The sequence below is a fragment of the Homo sapiens genome, chromosome 4, assembly GCF_000001405.40.
Source record: "Homo sapiens chromosome 4, GRCh38.p14 Primary Assembly".
NCBI lineage: Eukaryota > Metazoa > Chordata > Mammalia > Primates > Hominidae > Homo > Homo sapiens.
Window position 1 is genome coordinate 66,014,958 of NC_000004.12, and position 15,146 is coordinate 66,030,103.

At 35.0% G+C, this 15,146-nt stretch overlaps 1 long non-coding RNA gene across 5 annotated transcripts in view; it reads left to right on the forward strand.

The window, feature by feature from the left end:
* The window catches only part of LOC105377261 (uncharacterized), a 148,733-nt gene that overhangs the window by 11,757 nt on the left and 121,830 nt on the right, over nt 1–15,146 (forward strand). The window contains exon 2 of one of the 5 annotated variants that reach the window (XR_938845.2): nt 10,542–10,651. The exons of the other annotated variants lie outside the window; for them this stretch is intronic. This is a non-coding gene — a long non-coding RNA (uncharacterized LOC105377261). The remainder of the gene's footprint in view (nt 1–10,541; nt 10,652–15,146) is intronic. 5 annotated transcript variants of the gene reach the window in all.

Here is a 15,146-nt window from a genome sequence, read left to right on the forward strand (position 1 = left end):
TCAAATGTGAATTGAGTTATCAGCTTGCTGTTTAGAAGAGGTGGTGGGATTTGCTCATGAGAGGGGAACCTTGTTGCCTCACTGTGAAACAATATCTGTATTATTTTCCACAGAGAAGGGTACTAGCTTTTATGGGGTGGAGTGAAAGTTCATGAAACCAAAATCTTTGGGTTCATTCAGAAAGTAATTCCTATTCAAGGAGCTCAGGTTTTCCAAGTTAGAGACCTGACCTTGGCATAAGAGTTGCTTAGGTTCACCATTTAATCATCTTCTAAGTTCAGCACTCTAAATATTAAATCCTGGAGTTGATGTTAAATATTTTCTTCTGATCTACTGCATGAAATGTGGGTTTCTCTGTAGATTATTAAACATACTCTCTGATTCTGACATTTTGTTTCCATTACTTGTTAATTGCCTTGAGATTTTTTATCCACTTGTGGGAAATAAATGTCTTTTTCTCTAAAGCTAAACTTGAATTAAAGTTAAGAACATAGTATCTATATCAACATAGTGTGAGTTTAGGGGAAATTGAAAAGATTGTGCAACAACAAAAAAGGCTTTTAAAAAAAATTTCTTAAACTGTTATATTTTTCTTTTTGTCAAAATTATTATCGGTCAAAGAATGCTGCACTTATTTTACAAAATGTTTTTATTTAGCACAAATCTTTTACTAAGCACATCATAAAATAAATTATTTTTATCAGATGGTAGTATGTAAATGTATTAAAAGAGTCACATTTTAAATGTGTGAATTGAAGGATTCAACATTAACAGAAAAATATACCCTGGTGAAAATTAATTTTTTTTTTACAAAACATTGGTTAAAATTCAGGACAATTTTACAAGCACTTCCTGCCTCTGCCTCTCTTACTGCCCAATGAAGTGTTTTTTTTTTTATCATGGGTACCTAATTAGTGCAAGGTTTATTTAGGAAGTCGTTATGTCTGAGAATACTTAACTTCTACTCTTCTGTCTTTGATGAAGAGGCTCTAAGTGGATTTAAAAACTCCTGGTGGGCACTTATTATTCTTAGTGCATTCAGTAAAATATATCAGCAAATTAGCCCCTGTCTCCTGGTTGGCCTAGGACTACATAATAAAAGCATTTTATGATAAAGCTAAAATTGACTTTATATAGAACTTTTTCTACTTAAGAAAATTAGAACCTAACATTAAATTCAAAGTTCACTATAGCTTCAGATAGGTTAAGTATAAGCTACCTTTACTTTTGAAATGGATTTTCTTATGACCAAAATTTAGGTTGATATGTTACGTGAATATTTGCATGTATAACCATTTTTATTCTGCATTTCTTCTATTAACCTGCTGACATTGAGAAGTAATAGCATTGTGTTGATTTTTCCAGTTCAAAAATTCATGTTGCACTGAAGCTCATTGTTTGCAAACTCATTCAGCATATTGGCATTAGATCTAAAAAGAGGATGTACAACATGAAAACAAACATCTTTCTTAGTTGGCTCTTTCATCTTTTATATAACTATGCAACTCAGTAACCATTAGGACTACTTTCAATTACATTTGGATTTCATCACTTTTTTTTACTCCAGAAACTATCTGAAATCATCTCAATAGTTACAGAGTTTGTGATGTCAACAAACTTTTTTCAGTAGTGACTACGGTACTACTGCCCATAGTTAGTTATCACTGCAGTTTTGCTGGCAGCCTGAGATCTACAAACCCTTGAAATTATGGAGCACTAATTTGTTTAAATAGCCGTTTTTTTAAGTTGGCCTAAGACCAGGAATAACAATGAGTTCTCTAAATTTATTGGATATTTTATTTATTTTTGAACTTTATTTTGTGATCGTATAGCTTCTAATAATACAAATCTACTCATTTTAGGTTTTTTTTGTTTAAACATAGATTTATCCTAATATAAAATGCCATCATTTTTTCTTAAGCCATCTTTGTTTCCATTGTCCTTTAAGACATCAATTGTCCGGGGAGAACAGAGTATTTCAATTTACAGATAACTTCATTGCTTTAGTGGAATCGAATATCAGGACATGATAAAGCCAATTTCTCCATGAGTTTAACTTAAATGATTTGCAACCATAGTGCCTCCTCTAGGTTCCATGTTACACCAGATACCTTACGTATACATACTCTGTGTTTATTATAGGAAGATTTACTATGAAAAACAGTATGAAGGTTTCTCAAAAAATCAAAGGTAGAACTACCATATGATCCAGCAATTGCACTCCTCACTATATATCCAAAACAAATGAAATCATTATGTAAAGAAATAGCCACACTCTCATGTTCACTGTAGCATTATTCACCATAGTCAAAATATGGAAACAAATAAAATGTCAATCAACGGACTATTTAATAAAGAAAATGTGGTTGATACATACAAGGGAATATATTTCATCTTTAAAAAGAACAAAAATGATTGCCATCATGGAGAGTCTGGGAAGATGTTATGTTAAGTGAAATAATTCTGTCACAGAGTGAAAAATACTGCAAGATTTCACTTTTATGAGGTATCTAACGTAGTCAAACTAATATTAGAAGAAGTAGAATGGTGGTTGTCAGAAATTTAGGGAAGGTGAATGGAAAGTTATTATTTAATGATTTTACAGTTATATGGAATAAATACATTTTAGTTATCTGTTGTACAACATAGTGCCTGTATTTGACAATACAGTGTTGAGAACTGAAAAATTTACTGAAAGGGAATGCTTCTAGGTTTGCTCATTCAGTATGATGATGGCTGTGGGTTTTTAGTAGATGACTCTTATTATTTTGAAGTATGTTCCTTCAGTGTTTTGTTTTTGGAGGGGTTTTAACATGAAGAGATGTTGAATTTTATCGAAAGTCCTTTTTGCATCTATTAAGATCGTCATGTGGTTTTTGTTTTCAGTTCTGTTTATGTGGTGAATAACATTAATTGATTCGCACATGTTGAATCATCCTTGCATTCCATGAATGATGCCCACATGATTGTGGTGGATAAGCTTTTTGATTTGCTGCTGGATTTAGTTTGTTAGTATTTTGTTGAGGATTTTTGCATCAATGTTCATGAAGGATATTGTCCTGAAGTTTTTTTCTTTTTTTTCTTCTTTTTATTATATCTCTGCCAGGTTTCACACCACAATGACACTGGCCTCATAGAATGAGTTAGGAAAGACTTCCTCCTCCTCAATTTTTTGCAATAGTTTCCATAGAAATGGTACCAGCTCTCCCTTACACATCTGGTAGAATTTTGTTGTGAATCCATCTGATCCTGGGCTTTTTCTGATTGGCAGGCGTTTTATTACTGATTCAATTTCAGAAATCCTTATTGATCTGTTCAGGGATTCAATCTCTTCCTGGTTGAATCCTGGGAGGACTTATGTTTCCAGGAATTTATCTGTTTTTTTTATAGCTCTCATATCTTTTATGTAAAGAGCTGTTCATAATAGTCTCTGGGTTTTTCTTTTTGTATTACTGTGGGGTCAGTGGGGACAAATGTCCCCTTTGTCATTTCTGAATGTGTTTACTTGGATTTTCTCAAATTTTTTATTTATGCGTCTAGCTGGTAGTATATCTATCATATTAACTCTTTCAAAGGACTATCTACTAAGCTCAATGATCTTTTGTATAATTTTTTGTGTCTCAAATTCTTTCAGTTCACCTAGGATTTGGATTATTTCTTGTATTCTGTTAGCTTTGGGATTAATTTGCTCTTGTTCGTCTAGTTCCTTTAGTTGTAAAGTTAGGTTGTTAATTTGAGATCTTTCTAACTTTTTTATTTGAGCATGCTATGCTCTAAATTTTTCTCATAATAATAATTTGGCTGTGTCCCAGAGATTCTGGTATGTTGTATCTTTTTTCACAATCATTTCAAAGAATTTATTAATTTCTGCCTTAATTTCATTATTTTATCCAGAAATCATTAAGAAGCAGGTTGCTCTTTTCTATTTCATGGTATTTTTTTTCTTAACTTTGATTTCTGTTTTTATTGCATTGTGGTCTGAGACTGTGGTTGGTATGATTTCAGTTTTTCTTGAATTTGCTAAAGATTATTTTATGTCCTATTGCGTGATTGATTGTCGAGTATGTGTCATATGCCGCTGAGAAGAGTATATATTCTGTTGTTTTGGGGTGGAGAATTGTGTAAGTGTTTATTAGGTCCATTTCCCCAATTGTTAAGGTTTTGAATATCTTTGTTAGTTTTCTGCCTTGATGATCTGTCTACTACTGCCAACAGGTTGTTAAAATCTCCCAATATTATTGTGTGGTTATCTAAATATCTTCATAGGTCTCTAAGAACTTGCTTTATTAATCCAGGTGCTCCTGTGTTGGGTGCATATATATTCAGGACAGTTAAATCTTCTTGTTGAATTGAACTCTTTACCATAATGTAATGCCCTTCTTTGTCTTTTTTGATCTTTGTTGTTTCAAAGTCTGTTTTGTCTGAAATTAGAATAGCAACCCCTGCTTTTTCTGTTTTATATTGTTCGGTAGATTTTTCTCTATTCCTTTACTTTGAGCCTATGGGTGCCAATGCATGGCAGATGGGTCTCTTGAAGACAATATACCATTGAGTTTTGCTTGTTTATTCAACTTTACACCCTCTGCCTTTTGATTGGGGCATTTAGCCCATTTACATTCAATGTTCATATGGATATGTATGCATATGATCCTGTCATCATGTTGTTAGCTAGTTATTATACAGATTTGTTTGTGTGGTTGCTTTATAATGCCATGGGTCTACCTATTTAAGTGTGTCGTTCAGGCAAGAAAAAGAAATAAAAGGCATCCAAATAGCAAAAGAAAAAGTCAAACTATTGTTATTTGCAGACAATATGATTATACCTAGAAAACTGCATAGTCCCTGCTCAAAAGCTCCTTGATGTATCACAACTCCAACAAACCTTCAGGACGCAAAATCAATGTACTGAAGTCAGTAGCATTCCTATACATCAACAACATCCAAGCTGAGAGCAAATAAGAAACACAATCTCATTTACAATAGCCACAAAAAGAATAAAATATGTAGGAATAGAGCTAACCAAGTGAGTGAAAGACCCCTGTAAAGAGAATTATGAAACACTGCTTAAAGAAATAAGAGATGACAAAAACAAATTGAAAAACTTTTTATGCTTATGGATAGTAAAAATTAATATTGTTGAAAATGGCCACAAGGCCTAAGCAATTTACATATTCAGTGCTAATCCCATCATACTACCAGTGGCATTTTTCATAGATTTAGAAAATCTATTTTAAAATTCATATGAAATCAAAAACAATCTGAATACCCAAAACAATTCTAAGCAAAAAGAACAATGCTGAAGTCATCACACTACCCAGCCTCAAATTATACTACATGGCCACAGTAACCAAAACATCATGGTACTGATATGAAAACAGACACATAGATCAATGGAACAGAATAGAGAGCCCAGAAATAATGCCATACTCCTACAGCCATCTGATCTTCAAGAAAATTAACTAAAACAAGCAATGAGGAAAGGAATCCCAATTCAATAAATAATGTTGGCATAACTGACTAGTCATATGTGGAAGATAAAAACTGGACCGTTTCCTTACACCAGACACAAAAATTAACTCAATATTGATTAAAAACTTCAATCTAAACCAAAAACTATAAAAACCTTGGAAGATAACCTAGAAAATATCATTCTGGTCATAGGACCTGGCAAAGACTTCATAACAAATAAGCCAAAAGAAATTGAAACAAAAACAAAAATTGACCTATGAGACCTAATTAAACAAAAGAACCTCTCCACAGCAAGTGAAACTATCAACTGAGTACACGACAACCTACAGAATGGGAGAATATATTTGCAAACTATGCATCAGACAAAGGTCTATGTACTAATCCACTCTAATGCTGCTAATAAAGATATACGCAAGACTGGATAATTTATAAAGAAAAGAGGTTTAATTGACTCATGGTTCCACCTTGCTGGGGAAGCCTCAGGAAACTTACAATCTTTGGGGAAGGTACCTCCTCACAGGATGGTAGAAGGGAGAATGAGTGCCAAGCAAAGGGAGAAGCCCCTTATAAAGCCATCAGATCTTGTGAGAACTCACTCACTATCATGAGAACAGCATGAGGGAAATGGCCCCCATTATTTAATTATCTCCACTGGTCCTGCCCTTGACGTGTGGGGATTATTACAATTGAAGGCAAGATTTGGGTGGGGACACAAAGAAATACCATATTATTCTGCCCCTGCCACCTCCCAAATCTCATGTCCTCACATTTCAAAACACATCTTGCCCTTCCAATAATCCCCCAAAGTCTTAACTCATTAACCCAAAAGTTCAAGTCCAGAGTCTCATCTGAGATTCGGCAAATCCCTTCCACCTCTGAGCCTGTGAAATCAAAAGCCGGTTACTTCCTAGATACAATGAGGGTGGAGGCATTGGGTAAATACATTTATTCCAAATAGGAGAAATTAGCCAAAACAAAGGGGTCATGGGCCCCATGCAAGTCCAAAGTCCAGTAAAGCAGTCATTAAACCTTAAAGTACCAAAATTATCTCCTTTGACTCCATGTCTCACATGTAGATAATCTTGATGCAAGGGGTAGGCTCCCATGGCCTTGGGTGGCTCCACCCTTGCGGCTTTGCAGTCTATAGCCCCTCTCCTGACTGCTTTCATGACTGGCATTGAGTGTCTGTGGCTTTTTCAGGCTCTGTGCTGCAAGCTGTCATATCTACCATCTGGGATCCGGAGGACAGTGGCCTTCTTTTCACAGTTCCACTAGGCAGTGCCCCAGCAGGAACTCAGTGTGGGGGCTTTGACCCCACAATTCCCTTCCTCACTGGCATAGCATAGGTTCCCCATGAGGGCTTCATCACTGCAGCAAACTTCTGCCTGTACAACCAGGTGTTTCCATACATCCTCAGGAATCTAGGTGGAGGTTCCTCAACCTCATTCTTGACTATTGTGCACCTGCAGACCTAACACACATATAAGCCACCAAGGCTTGGGACTTGCAATCTCTGAAGCAACAGCCAGAGATGTACATTGGCCCCATTTAGCCACAGCTAGAGCTGAAGCATCTGGGATGCAGGGCACTATGTTCCAAGGCTGCACAGAGCAGGTGGGCCATGGGCCCAGCCCACAAAACCACTTTTCCATCCTAAGACTCCAGGCCTGTGATGGAAGGGGCTGCCATGAAGGTCTCTGACATGCCCTGGAGACATTTTTCTTGTCATCTTGGCGATTAACATTTAGCTCCTCGTTACTTACGCAAATTTGTTCAGGAGCCAGAATTTCTCCCAGAAAATGGGTTTTTCTTTTGTATCATATTGTCAGGCACAAATTTTCCAAACTTTTATACTGTGCTTTCTCTGGAATGCTTTGGCACTTAGAAATTTGTTCTTCCAGAAAACCTAAATCATCTCTCTCAAGTTCACTATTTCACAGATCTCTAGGGCTGGGGCAAAATCCCACCAGTCTCTTTGTTTAAAGCATAGGAAGAGTCACCTTTGCTCCAGTTTCCAACAAGTTCCTCATCTCCATCTGAGACCACCTCAGCCTGGACATCATTGTTCATATTGTTATCGCATTTTGGTCAAAGCCACTTAACAAGTATCTAGGAAGTTCCAAACTCTCCCACAATTTCCTGTCTTCTTCTGAGCCCTCTAAATTGTTCCAAACTCTGTCTGTTACTCAGTTCCAAAGTTGCTTCCACATTTTTGGGTTTCCTTGTAGCAGTGCTCCACTCTCCTAGCACCAATTTATTGTATGAGTCTGTTCTCACACTACTAATAAGACATATCTGAGACTGGGTAATTTATAAAGAGGTTTAATTGACTCACTGTTTCGCATTGTGGGGAGGCCTTAGGAAACTTACAATAATGGTGGAAGGCACCTCTTTGCAGGGTGGTAGGAAGGAGAATGTGTGCCAAGTGAAAAAAGAAGCCCCTTATAAAACCATCTGATCTTGTGAGATCTCACTATCATGAGAATGGCATGGGGGAAACCGCCCCCACAATTCAATTATCTCCACAAGGTTCTGACCTTGACATGTGGGGACTCTTACAATTCCAGGAGAGATTTGGGTGGGGGGAACAGAGCCAAAGCATATCAGTTTAATATCCAGCATCTATGAAAAACAAACACTTCCCTTAAAAAATGGGCAAAGGACGTGAATAGACACTTTTTTTAAAAAAAGATGTGGCCAAGAAGCATAGGAAAAAATAGTCAACATCACTAGTCATTAGAAACATGCAAATCAAAACCACAATGAGATACTGTCTCACATCATTCAGAATGGCCATTAAAAAAAAAAAAACAGATACTGGAGAGGTTATAAAAGGTCTACTTATGCATTGCTGGTGGGAATGTAAATTAGTTCAGCCCTTGTGGAAAGTAGTTTGGCATTTTCTCAAAGAACTTAAAACAGAATTGCCATTTGACTCAGTGATCCATTGTCAGATATATAACCAAAGGAAAATAAGCATTCCTGTATATGAACAATAGACAAGCAATGATCCAAATCATGAATGAACTCCCATTCACAATTGCTACAAATAATAAAATACCTAGAAATACAGCTAACAAGGGATGCAGAGGATCTCTTCAAGGAGAACTACAAACCACTGCTCAAGGAAATAAGAGAGGACATAAACAAATGAAAAAAAATTCCATCCTCATGGATAGGAAGATTGAATATTGTGAAAATGGCCATACTGCCCGAAGTAATTTTTAGATTCAATGCTATTCCCATCAAACATTATTGACATTATTCACAGAATTAGAAAAGAACTACTTTCAATTTCATATAGAACCAAAAAAAGAGCTCATATAGCCAAGACAGTCCTAAGCAAGAAAAACACAGCTGAAGGCATCATGCTACCTGACTTCAAATTATACTACACGGCTACAGTAACCAAAACAGCATGGTACTGGCACCAAAACAGACATATGGACAAATGGAAAAGAATAGAAACCTCAGAAATAACACCACATATCTACAGGCATCTGATCTTAAACAAACTGGACAAAAACAAGCAATGGGGAAATAATTACCTACTTAATAAATGGTGCTGGGAAAACTGGCTAGCAATATGCTAAAAACTGAAACTGGACTCTTTCCTTACACCTTATGCAAAAGTTAACTCAAGATGGGGTAAAGACTTAAATGTAAAACCCAAAACCATAAAAACTCTAGAAGAAAACCCAGGAAATACCATTCAGGACATATGCATGGGCAAATACTTCATGACGAAAACGTCAAAAGCAATTGCAACAAAAACCAAAACTGACAAATGGGATCTAATTAAAGAGCTTCTGCACAGCAAAAGAAACTATCAGCAGAATGAACAGGCAACCTACAAAATGGGAGAAAAATTTTGCAATCTACCCATCTGACAAAGATCTAATATCCAGAATCTACAAGGAACTTAAACAAACTTACAAGAAACAAACAAACAATTAAAAGGTGGGCAAAGGATATGAACAGACACTTCTAAAAAGAAGACATTTATGCAACGAACAACAAACATATGAAAAAAGGCTCAACATATCACTGATCATGAGAAAATGCAAATCAAAACCACAATGAGATACCATCTCATGCCAGCCAGAATGGTGATTATTAAGAAGTTAAGAAACACTAGATGCTTGCGAGGCTGTGGAGAAATAGGAAAGCTTTTACCCTGTTGGCAGGAATGTAAATTAGTTCAATCATTGTGGAAGGCAGTGTGGCGATTCCTCAAGGATCTAGAACCAGAAATACTGTTTGACCCAGAAATCCTATTACTAGGTATATACCCAAGGGAATATAAATCATTCTATTCTAGAGACACACATGTATGTATGTTTATTGCAGCACTATTTACAATAGGAAAGACATGGAACCAATCCAAATGCCCATCTATGATAGACTGGGTAAAGAAAATGTGGTACATATACACCATGAAATACTATGCAGCCATAAAGAGGATGAGATCATTTCCTTTTCAGGGACATGGATGAAGCTGGAAGCCATCATCCTCAGCAAACTAACACAGGAACAGAAAAGCAAATACTGCGTGTTCTTACTCATAACTGAGAGTTAAACAATGAGAACACCTGAACACAGGGAAGGGAAAAACACACACACCGGGGCCAGTTCGGGGGTGCGGGCCGAGAAAAGGGAGAGCATTAGGACAAATAGCTAATTGATGTGGGGCTTAAAACCTAGATGACAGGTTGATAGGTGCAGCAAACCACCATGGCACACATATATCTTTGTAACAAACCTACACGTTCTGCACTTGTATCCCGGAACTTAAAGTTTAAAAAAAAAATGTGCCTTAAAGACATAGGCATGCATGTGTTCATTGTGGCAGTATTCACAATGGCAAATACATAGAATCAGCGTAAATGCCCTTCAATGGTAGACTGGATAAAGAAAATGTGGTACATATACACCAGGGAATGCTCTGCAGCCATAAATAAGAATGACATTATGTCTTTTGAAACAACATGGAAGGAACTGGAGGCCATTATCTTAAGCAAAATAAAACAGAAACAGAAAAAATAATACCACATGTTCTCACTTTTACGTAGGAGCTGAAATGTTGAGTACATAAGGACACAGAGAAGGGAATCATAGCCACTAGGTCCTATTTGATGGTGGAAGATGAGAGGAGTGTGAGGATTGAAAAGCTACCTTTCAGGTACTATGCATATTACCCGGCTAATGAATTAATCTGCACACCAAATTCCTGAGACATGCAATTTACCTGTATAACAAATCTGCAAATGTACCCCTGAATCTAAAATAAAAGTTAAAAAACTACTGAAAGGTAAACATTTTATTACCAGTTCAATTTTGTTACTTGTTATTGTTTTTTTCAACTTTTCTGTTTCTTCCTGATTCAATCTTGGTAGGTTGTATGTGTCCAGGCATGTATCCATTTTCTCTAGTTTTCCTATTTGTTGGCCTATAGTCATTCATATTAGTTTTTAATAATCTGTTGTATCTTTGTGGTTTCACTTGTAAAGTCTCTTTTTGTTTCAGTTTTAGTTATTTGAGTCCTTTCTTTATTTCTTAGTCTAGCTAATCATTTGTTGATTTAATCATTTTAAATCACCAACTTTTTAATTTTTTTGATCTTTTATATTTTTAAATCTCTCTTTCAATTATTTCTGTTCTGGTTTTTGTTATTTGTCTTCTTCTGCTAATTTTGGGTTTGGTTCACTCTAGCTTTTCTTGTTCCTTAAGAATTGTTAGGTTCTTTATTTGAAATCTTTCTAATTTTTGATGTAGGCACTTATCGGTACATTATTGCTATACTATTTGTTACATGGAGTAATATTAGAGTAAAATTCCCTCTTAGTGCTGATTTTACTGTATCCCATAGGTTTTGATAGGTTAAATTTCTATTTTCATTTGTCTTAAGAAATTTTTAAATTTCTTTCTTAATTTCTCCATTGACCCATTGGTCATCCTGGAGAATGTTTAATTTCCGTGTGTTTTGTATTTATACAGTTTCCAAAATTCTTGTTATTAATTTCTAGTTTTATTTCTTCATAGTCTGAAAAGACACTTGATACAATTTTGATTTTTAAAAATTTGTAAAGACATGTTTTGTTGTCTAACATATAGTCTAGTCTGGAGATGATTTCATGTGGTGATGAAAAGAATGTATATTCTCTTGCTGCTGGATGAAATGTCTTGTAAATGTCTGTTAATTTCATCTGGTCTATAGTGCAGTTTACAATAGTCGTTTATTGATTTTTTATCTAGATCTGTCCAATGTTGAGAATGGAGTGTTGGTGTAAGAATTTGATAAATAAGGTGGTAAAATTATTACACTTTACTCTGTGTTTAGATAGAGTTTAGACTTCTTTATATGTTATCATCTGTTTGTTTTTGCCATTGATTTCAAATTTCTCGTAAACCTAACCATTTAATATTACTACTGAAAAGCTATTTGCAAGTTTGTGTTTCTTGCTTCTCTTAAACATTACCTTTTGAAAAAGCTACAATTATTGTTTAAAAGACTGACAGTAGGATGGAAAATAAGAGGAACTTGTTGATAAAGCTTGTAATTAATTTTAAATATTTAAAAGTTGGTTTAGTAGTCAATCATAGAGTAATAATGAAGAAAATGAAACAAAGCTTTTCTTTTATTATTTGTTTAAATAATTTACAGTTAGAATAATTTATAGCTGGCATAGTTCTTTAATATCCAATTACTTTGAGTTAAATAAATTTCAAAATTAAACTTTAAATATATGAATATAAAAGAAAACTGCAGACATAAAATACTTTACTTTTTCTTCTAGATCCATTGTTGATGAAAATATAATCGGCTTTTGGTCTGAGATGTAGGCAAAGCAGAATTATAAGAAAAATTAAAGAAAATTAACTCACCCTCCAAATATTGCCACTGGCCAAGAAATAAAGGTGGCTTTTCTTATTGCTTTAAGAGGTGCCAGAATGTTGCAGAAAGGCCCCTTCTTAGAAATAGCCCTGAGTCAAATTCATTTTGGTATAAACAGCATTTCAGATAAATGATTTTCTCATTCTTATTCTGAAATTTGAAAGATCATAATAAGAATAATCACCTTTGAAAAAAGGTGTTTTTATTTTGCTTACTGGGCTTTTTCTGACTTTTTTTTTTTCAATTAATGGAGCTCTGTGCATAGGAAGATAAAAGATACTGGGTGTTGTGTCAAATTAATCTATATGATTTATTACAAATGTGAGAATGACCCCTAATCATGTAGGGTCAGAAAGCATGGACAAAATGGTTTGTGTGGCACTACCTGACTCACCAACCTTTCGTTCTCAGGATTTTAAAATCACTTTCTGGAACTCTTGAGGACACCATTAACCCAAAATCAGCACTACATTCCCTGCCTCTGGCTTTTATCTTCAGCTGCCTTATTTTCTTTCAAAATATTTACAAAAGTGATGATGAAAACAGTTGATCAAAGAATAGCTTAGATGGGCTTTGGCTAATAAAACATTTTGTTAAATGACATTGGATTGGATTTTATTACTAAAACACATATTTTATGAAATAATCACGTAGTTAACACACAAACTTTATTGCCATTTCTGAAAAGAAAATTTCAAAGAAGAGAAGCAGGAGGAAGAAAAATAGTTACTAACTAGGGTTATTGTAACGAAAAAGTGAATATTCACAGGGCTAAACAAATTATGACAGGAGTCAAAAACCAACAAAATAGAACTATCAAGCTGGTTATTTAGTATCAAGTTAAAAACAATCATATTTGATTGACTTTTTACATAAATCAATGACCAAAGACCACTGGGGATATATCTGTAGTTGAAAAGCCTGGATTTACACTAATTGCAGTGAGGAATAATGCACATCATGGTGAACTCAGGTGTATGCCAGTAAGAGGGTATAGGATTTGGTTTATGTTAAGGGATTTGGGGAAGATTTAAGAAAACAGGGCTATGCTTAGAATTGAATGTTGTCGGGAAGTAAGGCAATTCTGATTTGATACATGAATAAAGATTATCTAGAAAGAGAAAATCAAGCTCAGACTAAAATATTTGAGAATTAAGTGAAATAATAGATTCAAAGGGATTAATGAAAATCTTGCACAATATAATTTGCTTATTTGCTTACTTCATTAGTCACAAAATTTTTGAAAAATACTTGAGATGTGCCTGTTTCTATAACCTGTATTTGTAAAAGTTCTTACCATCTGTATAAAATTTACTAATTTTTAATGATGTTATATGTCAAATCAAAACTAATTCTTCCTTTCACAGAATTTGTTTCAAGTCTTTATAAGAATGGCAGTATGTGAACTGACAAAAATGATTTAAATTGTTACTGTATGCTTTCCATACAATACTTTACATAATGTGTAATATATCAAAAACATATTTGGCATTATAGAGATATGAAAGACATGTAGCACTTAAAGTATATCTCAGGGGATGTTTCTGGAAATAGCATATATTGTTCTTCAGTGGTGAAAGGATGACATTAAAGTCAGACAATCCTGGAATTGTATCTCTGCCATTTACCAAGGTTGAGATCTAAAATGAATTATCTCATTCACTAAGCTTCATCTCCTGGCCTATAAAATGACATCTGTAACATTTACTTTACAGACAATTTTTGGGGAACTCGTGAAATAATGTATGTACCATACCTAACACACAGCACTCATTTCATGGTAACTATTATTTTATTAATAAGTACTTTATCATAGGGGCAGAATGGTGTAGAAAAAGGATGGTAGATATGTTTTTGATTTTCTGTTTCTTGGTGTACAGAGATTACTATTTTGCGTGCACAATGACCCTGTCCCGAATAAAACGAAGAATGTGTTCTTAGGGTCTCATTCAATGCCACACTAAATAAATGATGGCCTATCACTTTAGATTTAATTTTTTTTCATGTTTCACAAGATCTGAAACCAGAAATAGAGTCTTGGAAAGAACAATAACTTGGTCAGGTGCAGTGGCTCACACCTGTAATCCCATTACTTTTGGAGGCTGAGGCAGGTGGATCCCCTGAGGTTAGGAGCTCAAGACCAGCCTGGCCAACATGATGAGACCCCATCTCTACTAAAAATACAAAAATTAGCCAGACGTGGTGGTAGGCGCCAGTAATCCCAGCTACTTGAGAGGTTGTGGCGGGAAAATCACTTGAACCCGTGAGGTGGAGGTTGCAGTGAACTGAGATTGTGTGGCACTGCACTCCAGCCTGGTTGACAGAGGGAGACTCCATCTTAAAACAAAAGGAAAAAAAAAAGAAAAAAACAGTAACTTGATAGATTCGTCCTGTTGATTTTCAACCTAAGCAAATCACATACATATGACAGCCTGGGAGGGGTAATTCATACATATGATTAAGTGTAATATTGATGACTGAGTTTTCCACTCCAGTAATAGAGTAGAGGAATAAGAAAAAATAACTGATTAATTCATAAAGTTATTTATCATTTGGATTTGGATTACAATCTGGATACGCAACAATAGGAAACACAGTCCTACAAAAAAAGCAGTTCTTCCTGTCTTGGTTCTTTACTTCTAGTATTCATGTATGCATTCAACAATATATTTTAACATGTATTGTGTAATAGGAACTAATATGAGAAGTTTTACTTGAACAAAACAGATGAAACTCTTATGGAGCTTACAGTGTGTAACCTCAAACCACATATAGCAACACT